The sequence below is a fragment of the Homo sapiens genome, chromosome 14 (genome assembly GCF_000001405.40).
Source record: "Homo sapiens chromosome 14, GRCh38.p14 Primary Assembly".
Lineage (NCBI taxonomy): Eukaryota > Metazoa > Chordata > Mammalia > Primates > Hominidae > Homo > Homo sapiens.
In genome coordinates, this window is record NC_000014.9 from 49957098 (window position 1) to 49970597 (window position 13500).

Sequence of the window (13500 nt, forward strand, 5' to 3'; positions counted from 1 at the left end):
ATAAAATATTTCAGGATGAACACGTGAATGCTTTGTGTCTCTTACTTGAGATTGTTTTTACTTATTCAGAGAATTGTTTTAGGAGTCAGGGAGATGTTGCATGATTTGGAGGCTCCGAATTCCTGAGGATCCTCCTGAATTCTCAGATGTCTTCCCTAGTTCCTCTCCAGACTCATCCAGCCTTGTCCTTTGTTCTTTCCAATTCTCTGAGCACACCCTCTGCCTGGGAGAGGGCATCTGTCTATGTGATGCTCCTATCACAAGCATGCGAATTATGCCCATGTTTACAATTTCATTCCATCTCTCTTCGAAGTGCTAGTCTCACATTTTCAAATGACCGATGAACATCTCCATTAGGTGTGTTGCTGGGAACTCAAATGCCCTCCCTCATCATACCTTTTCTGCCTTCCCAATTTTTTCCCTAATATTTATTAAAGGCCAACTCAAACGCCATCTTCTCCAGAAAGCACTTTCCAATTGTCTTTCACCTAATAGGTAAATATTTATTGAGTGCCAGTTAAGGGACTTGACCTATTACAGACCAGAGTATACAGTGGTGAGCACACGTCCCTGTGGGGTGAAATATCAGAGAGTAGGTGACAACAGCTAGGAAGGACCTCATCTTGGTTGGAAGTGATCTCTTGCATCTCTGATCTCCTAAAACTTCACTGTCTATGTAATAAAGACACAATAACAAATAACTTAACCTGAAGAGGATTTGCTGTGCACTGGGTGCTGTCCTAATACATAATAACTCAATCTTCACAACAATCGTGTGAGACAGCACTGTTCTTCCACCCCCACTACCTTTTTTACAGAAGGGGAAACCAAGGCACAGAGAGATTAAGAAACTCATCCAGGATTACAAAGCTAGTAAGTGATAAGTGTGCTTTCATTAAAGCCAAGAAAGTAAAATTAGTAACAAGTTCTGTTTGGGGTAAAAATATTTAAACTTAATGTCATGAGTTTTAATATACCCACTTTTCAGTTTCAGTATTTTCTCAATGACATTAATGTCCTGGAGAAATATTAATGATTAAAAAATATACTAAGACTTATTAATAGGGGTGCACACTTTTCCTGTTGCCTCAGGCTCCAGTATGGCTTGGCACAGCATTGTTGGAGCTTGTTTCTTTTTCTTTCTTTTTTTTTTTTTTGAGACAGGATCTTGCTTTGTCACCCAGGCTGCTGGAGTGCAGTGGCATGATCTCAGTTCTCTGCAACCTCTGTCCACTGAGCTCAAGCTATCCTCCCTCCTCAGCCTCCCAAGTAGCTGAGACCACAGATGCGCACCACCGTGCCTGGCTAAGTTTTTGTATTTTTAGTTGAAATGGGATTTCGCCATGTTGGCCAGGCTGGTCTCAAACTCCTGGCCTCAAGTGCTCCACCCACCTTGGCGTCCCAAAGTGCTGAGATTGCAGAGGTGTGAGCCACTGCACCCAGGTGAAGCTTGTTTCATTTAAACTTTTGCTATTTTGTATATCATAGATTTTATGCATGAACTTTTATTTTTTAAAAATTATGCAGGCCAGGGGCAGTGGCTCAAGCCTTTAAATCCTAGCACTTTGGGAGGCTGAGGCAGGAGGATCCCTTGAGGCCAGAAGTTTGAGAACAACCCGAACAACATAGCAAGACTCCTTCTCTACAAAAAATTAAAAATTAGTTGGGCATGACAGTACATGCTGGTAGTCCCAGTTGCTTGGGAGGCTGAGAATGGAGGATGACTTGAGCCCGGGAGGTGGAGGCTGCAGTGAGCCTTGATTGTGTCACTACACTCCTGCCTGGGCAACAGAGTGAGACTCTGTCTCAAATAATAATGATAATAACAGTACATCTTATTTAATAATATTAAAATACTATTTATCTTGATTGCTGAGTTTTTGGAACCCCCTTCAATTCTGACCTTGAGTGGTGGAGGCAATTTGGCTCCAGGTCTGTACTTCTGTACTCGTATTGTTGATTTTTTTTTTTTTTTGAGATGGAATTTTGCTCTTGTTGCCCAAGGTGGAGTGCAATGGCGCGATCTCAGCTCACCACAACCTCCGCCTCCCATCTCGGCTCACTGCAACCTCCGCCTCCCAGGTTCAAGCGATTCTCCTGCCTCAGCCTCTGGAGTAGCTGGGATTACAGGCATGCACCACCACACCCTGCTAATTTTGTTATTTTTAGTAGAGACAGGGTTTCTTCATGTTGGTGAGGCTGGTCTTAAACTCCAAACCTCAGGTGATCCGCCCACCTCAGCCTCCCAAAGTGCTGAGATTACAGGCGTGAGCCACCATACCCTGCCTGTTGATTTTTATATCTGCATCTATTTATCACTGTTATTTCCAATTAAACTATAAATGCTTTGAGGGCAAACATCATTCATCATACTGCCTTCTTAGATTCCCAAAGACATCTAGCATTTTGTTTGGCACATAAAGGTGCTTGGTAAAGGATGGCTGAAAGGGAATCAGAATAGCCTCTTTTAATGTATTGAACTTTACCATCCTCACCAGCTACTTTTACCACAATATGTAGTTTTGCTTTCTTGATTGCAGTTTCCCTCTTACATGCATGCTTCATTTTAATTTTATAAAAATTACAGTGGCACGATCTCAGCTCACTGCAACCTCCGCCTTGTGGGTTCAAGTGATTCTCCTGCCTCAGCCTACCAAGTAGCTGGGACTACAGGCATGTGCCACCACACCCGGCTAATTTTTGTATTTTGAGTAGAGATGGGGTTTCACCTTGTTGGCCAGGCTGGTCTTGAACTCCTGACCTCAACTGATCCACCTGCCTCGGCCTCCTAAAGTGCTGGGATTACAGGCATGAGCCACTGCACCCAGCCGCCCAGTGTTTTCTTTTTAGTGAAACTTCACATTTTTCAGAGATACAGAGCCTTTGGGAAGAAAACCTAGAAGTTTTAGTTCTGTAAGTGGACAGATCAGTGTAGTAAAAAGAAGGCAGAGGATGTTCACAGACATAATTATCAGGTCTTTGGTAACAACATGGGAGTTTTTGAAGCACAACGGTTCTGTGATTTATGCCTCCTTGCACCTGGAGCTCGGCTCCACTCCTCCCACACCCTGCTGCAAAAACCTCTTCACCTGTGGCTGTGCGGTCTCTGTGTAGTAACTTCACGCCTGGTTGGTTATATTTTCTCCAGCACTGCTTCCGGGAATGACAGGAGGGGATGAGTATTTTCTCTCCTGTCACTGAACTACTAGAAATGTGGCTGTTTAGGAGGGGAGGATTCATGACGAATGCAGCCATTTCTCCGGGATGCATTGAGTAAAACCCTTTGAGAGCCCTCCTCAGGGTGGGAGCCCCCCCTTTTTTTTTTTTTTTTTTTTTTTTTACTGGAGAGACAGCCTCCAGCGCAAAATGAAGACACATTCCCTGGGTGGGAGTTTTGAAGACAAAATAAAAGAAATGCATAGCACCAGGAAACATCCGTACCTGTTGCCTTCTGGAGGGCTCCTCCTGCGAGCATTGTCATTGGGTTAGGTCCTGCACCCTTCCTGCCAATCCACTCTTGGGCTGGATTGAGAAATACAGAAATCACTTTGGGTTGCTTGGCTGTATGTTGAAATCCTCTGAGCAGGTTTAGTTTCTTTTGAGTTTTATTTCTTCTTCTTTTTTTTTTTTTTGAGACAGAGTCTCGCTTTGTTGCCCAGGTTGGAGTGCAGTGGTGCGATCTCAGCTCACTGCAACCTCCACCTCCGCGGTTCAAGTGATTGTCCTGCCTCAGCCTCTTGAATAGCTGGGATTACAGGTGCACACCACCATGCCTGTCTAATTTTTGTAGAGATGGGGTTTCACCATGGACTATAGGCCAGACTCTTAAAAATGAGGTGGCAGAAAATCTGAAGTTTAACCAAGACTCAAGTCCATTTTAATTTCTATTTTAATAATCTGAGCACAGAAAATAGATTAGTACGCTATCTGAGATTAGAGTGAACTGGTGAGAGACTCAGTGTCCAAATATATGAAGAAGAGTAGCAAGAATTGGTACAAAGTGAGAAAAGAAGTTGAGAGTGGTAGACAGGGTCCAGGCCCAGTCCCCAGGTCCTGGTGCTGTATGTTCCCTTACTGTATTTTCAGAGAAGGCGGGGAGGTGTTCAGCAGCCAGAACTCCATTTGAGGTAAGCCAGACTCAGATGGGGGTAAAGCAGAAGTCAAAAATCATCCTTTCTATCCTTCTGTATCAAGACTAAGTATAACAGCAGGGAGCTTGAAATGTAGAGACATGAGAGTTAAAGTTGACACCTAGTCTCAGATTTAGATATCAAAAGGTTAAGACTGTAAAAATCGGGGTGATCTGGAAGGATGTGATTCGAAAGTCAAACTGAGGGCCCATTGTGGGGCCAGGTGCTGGCCCTGGGTCTGGAGATATAGACATGACCAGACATAGTGCTGCCCTCTGGGAACTGTGATCTGTCTGGAATCATATATCTTACACTCCAGCCCAGTACAGGTTTCCAGGATTAAGTGGTGTTAGATAAATTGCAAGTACACTTTCAGAACTACATGATAATACGTATGGAAATTTTAACTAGAAAGGTGTACAGTGACAGAACTCCCTCCCCCCTACTTTAGTGGGGTGGCCACACTTCAACATACCTCTGTATTACTCATCTTCCATGCAGTGTTTCCCCAGGACCTGCCTTGACTTTTCTCTTGCTGAGCTCTGTTCTACCACACACTTGCCTCCCCAGATAGCTAATTATAAGCTTCTATTTTAGTGCCTGCTTACAACAAAAGCTGTGTCAAAAGCAGCGCATACCCATATAGAAATTTAAAAGGGTACAATTCCTGAATGGTGATGAAGCAGTACTCTGCGATGTGCTTCATCATCCAAGCGATGGTTCGGGGAAATGGAAATAGATCTGGTCAGATCGGTGCAGGCCAAGCGGGTGCCTAACATGTGTTTACCGACAACGACCTAGTACACGTTTATTAGGAACATTTTCTATTTACATAAAGAGGCAGAGACAGCTCCAGTGTTCATCAGGATCAGCTTGGGCTACTGCAGCCTTGCACATCAGTTCACAGCTTTGCAGGCCCAGAAGCGTTTTCACTAGCCCTTCTCAATCTTGAGAAATAATGCTTCTGATGTCACAGTAGTGTAGGCTATTTGAGCCCTAGGTTTACGTATAGTAGTTTTAGGTTTTGGATTTTTAGTCACAGGCCTTCTTGCTAATGCGATCGTCTCTTTTAGGCCTTTGGCATCTGAGCCAGTTCTGATTTGCTGGGATGCTATTATTGCCTCTTCTTATCCATTTCAGGAGTAAGGGGTAGAAGGGAGGAAAAAAATAGAAATAGGAACAGCATGAATGTTGATCGACATCTTGCATTTTGAAGAGGAAACTCATCATCTCCTCCAAATGGTCATCTACTCAACGCCTGGAGCTCTAAAGAAATGCCCATCCTCTTAATATAAAACAAACACAAACTATGTGTTCAGAGCTTCCATGTGCATTTGTGTTTACAGACGGAAATACCTGTGAGACTAAAAATCTTCAAGCCTTATTGCAGATCCCTGGTTTCTGTGGGATTATGTAAAACCTGTATTTCTGAAACCCCGCCTCCCGTCTTCCTTCCATCTTAAAGCAGGGTTGAACCTTTTATTAAACTGACAGCCAGGAAATGTTTTACCTGCTTGACTTGTTCTTACTATTTTATACAGGTTTCAGTCAAATGTTTCTACACCCTGCTGGGCGTGGGAGGCCGTGACTCACCAAGAGAGAGGATATTCGGTTTGCATATCCAGGGTGTTGCAGGATGATAGAGGACTTCACAATTCAGGCTTGGTGCCATTTTGTCCCTTCCCTCGTTCTCTCTTGGATATTTACTTGGCTACTTGCTCCCATGGAGAACCAGTCAGCTGAGTATTCAAATATTAAATTAATTCCTCTTTCTACACAAGTGGCCAAGCAAGTTTTTACTAGAAACGTAGACTGGTGCCTGAGGAAGACTGGGGGTAGGGAGAAGAGAGGATGAGTTTATTTATTTAGTTATTTTTAATTTTTTTTTTTTAATAGAAATGGGGTCTTGCTGTGTTGCTCAGGCTGCTTTCAAACTCCTGGCTTCGAGGAATCCTTCTGCCTTGGTCTCCCAAAGTGTTGGGATTACAGGGATGAGCCACCATGCCCAGCTAGAGACTGAGTTTAAAGGGCAAAGGAAACTGTGGAAAGTAGTTTCTCTAAATATAAGTTTTGTGATGCTTTTCCATTGTCCAAGATCTTTGTGCCTTTGTGTATGAATAGGCCAAGAAAATGTTTTAGAATAACTTTGAATTAATCAATTTGTGTCAAGAAACCTCCTTTTTCCTGCTGCAGCAGGGTCTGCTTGGCCTATGAAAGCTCAAGGAGGGGTCTTTTATGACTCAGAGATATTTCCTTAATTTAAAAAAAAAGTTGGGAGGCCGAGGCAGGCAGATCATGAGGTCAAGAGATCGACTGATACCATCCTGGCCAATATGGTGAAACCCCGTCTCTACGAAAAAGACAAGAATTAGCTGGGTGTGGTGGTGGGCGCCTGTAGTCCCAGCTACTTGGGAGGCTGAGGCAGAAGAATCACTTGAACCTGGGAGGCAGAGGTTGCAGTGAGCTGAGATTGCGCCACTGCACTCCAGCCTGGCGACAGAGCGAGACTCCATCTCAAAAAAAAAAAAAAAAAAAAAAAAAAAGAGGGACAGAGGCCTTTGACTCCTGGCCACTCTTGTGAATCACATTTTGCACACAACACCTCCTCTCTTCATCCTTTTTCAGACTAAGGACTTGCCCAGAACTCTGGTGGTTACAGACCAAGCACTATGGTTGGAGGAGCTAGCCCAACAGAGGCAGCTGCGATCAGGGGAAGGGTGGAAGCCGCACACCAGAGCACCCTTGCTGCTCCAGGGCTGTCAACGATCTTCTCATACTCAGAGACTCGCTCGCCCCTGTGTCCTTTCATTCCTTCCTGCAGGCACTTCTGGAGCGGGTAGCGTGGTGAGATTTCTCACACAAAATTTGCTACAAAGCTACAGTAGACCACGTAGTGTGGTAGTAACATAAGAACAGACGTATAGATCAATGGAATAAAATAGAGAGCCGGGAAACAAACCCTTGTCTTCAATAGTGCTGGGAAAACTGGATATCCACTTACAAAAGAATGAAGCTGGACCCTTACCTTATACCATGTGCAAAAATTAACTCAAGATAGATCAAGGACCTAAACTAAATCTTCATAATCTTTGATTTGGCAAGATTTCTTGGATGTGACACTAAAAGCACAGGTAGCCAAAGAAAAAAATAGACAAATTTGGCTTCATCAAAATAAAAAACTTCAGTGTATCAAAGGTCACTGTGAAGGGAATGAAAAGATGGCCTACAGAATGGGAGAAAATACCTGCAAATCACACATCTGATAAGGGACTACTATCCAGAATATGTTAAAAGCCCCTACAACTCAACAACAACAAACCAAACAACCTAATGTTAAAATAGGCAAAGTAATTCAATAGACAGTTCTCCAAAGAAGATACACAGATGGCCAATAGGCACAGGAAAAGATGTTTAAAATCATTAATCATTAGGGAAATACAAATCAAAATCACAATGAGATACCACTTCACATCTATGAGGATGGCTGGTAATAAAAACAAAAACAGAAAACAACAAATGTCGGTGAGGATGTGGCTAACTTGGGACACTCGCATATTGCTGGAGGGAGTGTAAAATGGTGCGGCCACTGTGGAAAACAGCCTGATTGTTCCTTGGTGGTAATACAGAATTTCCATATGATCCAGCATATTCCACTCCTAGGTATATACTCAAAGTAATAGAAAATAGGAACTCAAACAGATGCGTGTACAACAACCTTCATAGCAGCACCGTTCATAATAGCCAAAAGGTAGAAACAACAGAACCGTCCACCAGCAGATGAACAGATAAACAAAATGTGGCAAATGCATGCAATGGAGAAGGATTCAGCCACAAAAAGGAGTGGGATTCTGATACCTGCTATGACACGGATGAGCACCAAAGACATTATGCTAAGTGAAATAACCCAGACACAAAAGGAAAAATATTGTGTGATTCTACTTCTTTGAGTGACCTAGAATAGGCAAATTCACAGAGACAGAAAGTAGAATAGAGGTTTGGCAGGAGCTGGGGGAAGGGGAAATGCGGAGTGATTGCTCAACAGGTACAGAGTTTCTGTTTGGGATGATGAAAAGTTACATACAGCATTGTAAATGTCCTTATTGCCACTGAATTGTACACTTAAAATGGTTAAAGTGGTAAATTTTATATTATGTATATTTCACCATAGTAAAAAAAAGTTTTAAATACACATTCCAGGGCCCCACCCTTAGAAAGCCTCAGAGGCGGCCGGGCGAGGTGGCTCACGCCTGTAATCCCGGCACTTTGGGAGGCCGAGGCAGGTGGATCACCTGAGGTCAGGAGTTCAAGACCAGCCTGGCCAACATGGTGAAACCCCTTCTCTACAGAGATACAAAAATTAGCCTGGCATGATGGTGGGTGCCTGTAATCCCAGCTACTCTGGAGGCTGAGGCAGAAGAATCACCTGAACCTGGGTGGCAGAGGTTGCAGTGAGCCGAGATAGTGCCATTGCGCTCCAGCCCGAGTGACAGAGCAAAACTCCGTCTCAAGAAATCCTCAGAAGGTGATACAGTAAATATGGATGGGGTGGGAATCTGGAATCTGTATTATTATTATTATTATTTTTAATGCCTTCCTATCTTTCTCAGGCATAGTCAGGTTTGGAAACTTATGATTTAGTCTCTGCCAGTTCTTTCCAAGGGGCTGGTGCGTCTGTAAGGAAGTGTTCACCAGTCTACGTGAAATACATGTGTATTTCTCATGCATCTGAGTGTATTAAATTTGAAGTCCTGTTTTAAAATCTGAGATTGTCATGATTACATTGTTTTGGGGTTAAAGTGTCCAATCATCTCCCACCATAAAATGATGGTGACAATAATTCAGGTTGTTTTTTAAGTGTCTGTGCTTGGCAAAATAGAAGTGAGCAGTCCTATGTTAGTCTCTCAAAAGGTTTTCAAAATTTTAATGGTTTGTTAAATTCCAAAGATTGGGAACCATTCCTCCAGACACCATCCCTTTGAAAATACTGAAATAGAAACTGCTTCTGCTGTTTATTTTATTTGTGCCAGAAAGAAAAAAAAAATGGAAAGGACCTATACATTTTTCTGTGGTTCATAGGACCTGGAGCAACAAAGGGCAGCATTGAAACTGACAGCATTGACATGTAATTTGTCCTGCTGCCTGTTGGAACGTTCTTTTTCAGATGCTGGAGGAGCATGACAGAGGAGAGGTGGAGGTAGGCGAGAGTAATATAATTTCTCCAGGAGAACATCTGAGAGGGGAAGTTGCTTTCCTGCCCTGGCCCTTTCACCCTCCTGAGTTTGGGGGCTGTGGTGGGGCAGGGATTGACCAACAGCCATTCCTAGGGGATGGATGCCTTTGCATTCCAGAGGGCAGCTGGCTGAAGGGAGTGCTGAGTCTGTGGGAGCCATAGCCCGCCCCACCCTTTAGGCAGATTAGTTAATTATTGAAAAGTGCCTCAGAAGCACAAAGGTCTGGAGAGACTCCATGAGCTATTGCTCAGGCCCGTGTGGGAGCTGGCATTTCTGAGGAGACACTGAGACTCTTCTAGGAGGCTGTGGAACAAGAAATAGTTCCTTCCCATTGTGGTGCAGTCCTTTCAGGTTTGGTGTAGAGAGACAGTTCCAGAGAATTCTTATACAGTGCATATAACTTCTCAAGAGAGAAGTTAAATTTATTTGTCTTAGGATTTGTGAAGTATTTAGATAAATGAACCACATCAGATATTTTCCGTTGTTTTAATTTTTTGTGTGTGTGGTTTTAATGTTTTAAGGACATTCAGGTCTTTTTTTTTTTTTTTTTTTAAACGGAGTCTTCCTCTGTCACCCAGGCTGGAGTGCAGTGGCACAATCTCAGCTCACTGCAACCTCTGCCTTCTGGATTCAAGCAATTCTCCTGCTTCAGCTTTCAGCTTCCCGAGTAGCTGGGACTACAGGTGCGCGCCACCACGCTGAGCTAATTTTTGTGTTTTTAGTAGAGACGCGGTTTCACCATGTTGGCCAGGATGGACTTGATCTCGTTATCTGCTCACCTCGGCCTCCCAAAGTGCTGGGATTACAGGTGTAAGCCACCACACCCGGCCCATTCAGGTCATTTATGCATAAACGATCACATGACATGTTCTGTTCTCTGACTTACTTTTTTCTTTTACTTAACAACATTCCCTGTAGCTCTTTCTGTGTTAGTGCATATAGGCATCCCCCATTTTAACTGTTGCATTCCTTCTAGATGTATCATAGTTTCTTTACCCACTATTTTAGCAAAGGATCACATAGGTGGTTTTCCATTTTTCACCATTACAAACAATGCTGCAACAAATGTTCTTATACACAAATGGGTGTGTGTATGTATGAGTGTTTCTGAAGGATATTATTTCTAGAAGTGGAATTTCTGGATCAAAGGGCATGCACATTTAAAATTTTTGTAAATAATATTGAGTTTCTCCCCCAAAATTCTGTTCTGATTTTTATAGCCACCATTATACTCATCAGCGTTGGACATAATCATTTTGTTAAAACTGCCAGCGTCATGTGCAGAAAAAACAGTGTCATTTTAAATTGCATTTCCTGGATTTACCAGTTAGATTGTTCATTTTATCATATGCCTATTGACCATTTCAATTTTTGGAACTTTTAGAAATAAAAATACAGAAAAGGTGTATAGGCTGGTTGCAGTGGCCTACTGACCATTTCAATTTTTGGAACTTTTAAAAATAAAAATAGAGAAAAGGTGTATAGGCTGGTTGCAGTGGCCTACTGACCATTTCAATTTTGGGAACTTTTAAAAATAAAAATACAGAAAAGGTGTATAGGCCGGGTGCAGTGGCTCACGCCTGTAGTCCCAGCACTTTGGGAGGCCAAGGCGGGTGGATTGCCTGAGGTCAGGAGTTTGAGAACAGTCTGGCCAACAGGGCGAAACCCTGTCTCTACTGAAAATACAAAAATTAGCTGGGCATGGTGGCAGGTGCCTGTAATCCCGACTGCTCGGGAAGCAGAGGCAGGAGAAACGCTGGAACCCGGGAGGCGGAGGTTGCAGTGAGCTGAGATCTCGCCACTGCACTCCAGTCTCGGCGACAGAGCGAGACTCCATCTCAAAAAAAAAAAAAAAAAAAGAAAAGAAAAAGGAAAGGTGTATACATTAAAGGTGTACTGATCAATGCATTAAGACAAAGTGAACTCTTCCTTGTAATCATGTCCCAAGTCAATAAATAAAATATTATAAGACCTTCTCCCCAAAAGAAGACTCTCCCCTGAAAAAGATCGACCTCCTCCAAAGTAATTCCTACCCCAACATCTAAGTGCTGTAGATTAGTCGTTCCTGTTTCCTACTGTCATATGAACAGACTCATACAAACATGCACTCTTCTGCGTCTAGCTTCCTTCATTCGCATTACGTTTATGAGTCTTTCACGTACTCGTGTGTAGCTGTAGTATGCTCATTTACATTGCTTATTGTATTGCATTATGTGAATATATCACAATTTATTGATTGATGGACATCTGGGTTACATCTGTTGCCAACTTTCAGTTATTAATGAATAATGTTGCTAAGAGCATTATCGTGCATGCTCTTTAGTATAGCTGTGCATCATCTCTGTTGGGTATATATCTAGGAACAAGATTCTGGGGTCATCAGCATTGTTCTGTTCAACTCCACCAATTGCATTTGTGAATTTCTTATGAATATTCTTTGCACACTTATTATCGGGTGGTTTGTGTTTTATTATTGACTTGTATCTGTCCTATTTACTCTGGATGTTAGTTCTGTTGTAAATATTCTCTCTTAGTCTGTATATAGGCCCTTTTATTTTACAAAGTTTAAAGTTTTTATGCAGTCAAATCTGTAATTCTTTTTCTTTATGGTTTCTGGTTTTATATCTTGCTTAGAAAGTCCTTCTCTATCTCAAGATTGTAAAATACTCTCTTATGTCTTGTCTCCTTTTTTTTTTTTTTTTTTTTTAGACAGGATCTCACTCTGTTTCCAGGCTGGAGTACAGGATATGATCATGGCTAACTGTAGCCTCAACCTCCTAAGCCCAAGCGATCCTCCCCTCTCAGCCTCTTTAGTAGGTGGGACTACAGGCATGCACCGCCATACCTGGCTAATTTTTTAATTTTTTGTAGGGACAGGGTCTTGCTATGATGCCCAGATGGTCTCGAACTCCTGTGCGCAAGCGATCCTCCCGCCTCAGCCTCCCAAAGTGCTGGGATTACAGGTGTGAGCCACTGCATGGGGCCACATTTCCATTTCCTTCTAATACTCATTTTGATTTTTTACTTTAGGCTTTTTAGTCAGTATGGAATTTATTTGTGAGGGTGAGAAATAGAGGCTAATTTATTATCTAAATTAGGGGATGAGTAAAATGATACCATTTGCTGCCTAAGTTTTAAAAATATTTATTTTATTTTATTTTTATTTTTGAGATGGACTCTGGCTCTGTCACCCAGGCTAGAGTGCAGTGGCGCGATCACGGCTCACTGCAACCTCCACCTCCCGGGTTCAAGCGATTCTCCTGCCTTAGCCTCCCAGATATCTGGGATTACAGGTGTGCACGACCGCGCCTGGCTAATTTTCATATTTTTAGTAGAGACAGGGTTTCCCCATGTTGGCCAGGCTGGTCTGGAACTCCTGACCTCAGGTAATCCACCCGCCTCGGCCTCCCAAAGTGCTGGGATTACAGATGTGAGCCACCACACCCGGCCTCAAATATTTATTTTTAACATCTCAAAATAAGTTCTAACATCAAAGAACTAAAAAACTATCAACAAAAAAATTTTTTTACCTCAGAATAGTCTCCTCTAAGTTAAGCCTGAGTTAGATTCTAAATAGGGCAAATGTTCTAAGTCAGCGGTTGCCACCCAAAATGCTATCTATGCATATAAATGGTCAGTGACTTATTTATTCACTTACTATGTATTTATGGAATTTAAAGTGCAGTTCCCTTGGACTTACGTGTCTAACGAGGAAGAAAGGCTTCATTCTGGGACCTTCAGGGTAGCCTGGCTTGCACACTGGATCTAGGTTCACGGGTCATGAAAACTACAGTGGCTTTCTTCCCTCCCAAGCCTCCAGCTACTCCCAATCTGAGCAAATGGCCCCCAGATGGATTCTATGTTCTGAGTCCGTCCCCAGGACAGAGGGAGGTCCAGTTTGAGCTTTATTACAAATCCTGTAGGTCGGCTTTAGATTATAGACATGGCTTCCTCAGGCAAGGCTGCCCACTTGAGGGAAACAATTTTGTTGGCTGGCTGGGTGGTTGGTGTAGGGCTCACATTTGGGAGTTCACTCCTTTCTCTCCCTTTGTCTGAAACGATCAGCACCTTGTTGTGCCTGTTCACTAGCAGTACTCGGCACACAATCGTTTGTTGTGCTGACTCTCCAGTTGCTCGCA

General features: G+C 42.9%; 1 long non-coding RNA gene and 1 other non-coding gene across 2 annotated transcripts in view, besides 3 other annotated features; one reads left to right on the plus strand and one right to left on the minus strand.

Annotated features, from left to right (window-relative positions):
• The window catches only part of LOC100506446 (uncharacterized), a 43172-nt gene extending 37237 nt beyond the window's left edge, over positions 1-5935 (minus strand). The window contains exons 1-2 of the long non-coding RNA XR_007064156.1: positions 4606-5935; positions 3442-3522 (exon numbers count right to left, since the gene is read on the minus strand). This is a non-coding gene — a long non-coding RNA (uncharacterized LOC100506446). The remainder of the gene's footprint in view (positions 1-3441; positions 3523-4605) is intronic.
• Positions 4591-4730: an enhancer, noted in NCBI's record as "active region_8330". NCBI's record gives its function as "activates an Ori minimal core promoter by ATAC-STARR-seq in GM12878 lymphoblastoid cells {active_cell/tissue: GM12878}" and the evidence as "EXISTENCE:reporter gene assay evidence [ECO:0000049][PMID:35858748]".
• Positions 4781-4870: an enhancer, noted in NCBI's record as "active region_8331". NCBI's record gives its function as "activates an Ori minimal core promoter by ATAC-STARR-seq in GM12878 lymphoblastoid cells {active_cell/tissue: GM12878}" and the evidence as "EXISTENCE:reporter gene assay evidence [ECO:0000049][PMID:35858748]".
• Positions 8099-8168: a silencer, noted in NCBI's record as "silent region_5713". NCBI's record gives its function as "represses an Ori minimal core promoter by ATAC-STARR-seq in GM12878 lymphoblastoid cells {active_cell/tissue: GM12878}" and the evidence as "EXISTENCE:reporter gene assay evidence [ECO:0000049][PMID:35858748]".
• On the plus strand, positions 9302-9414 carry MIR6076 (microRNA 6076). The gene has a single exon (NR_106724.1). It is a non-coding gene; the product is annotated as a microRNA 6076 (primary transcript).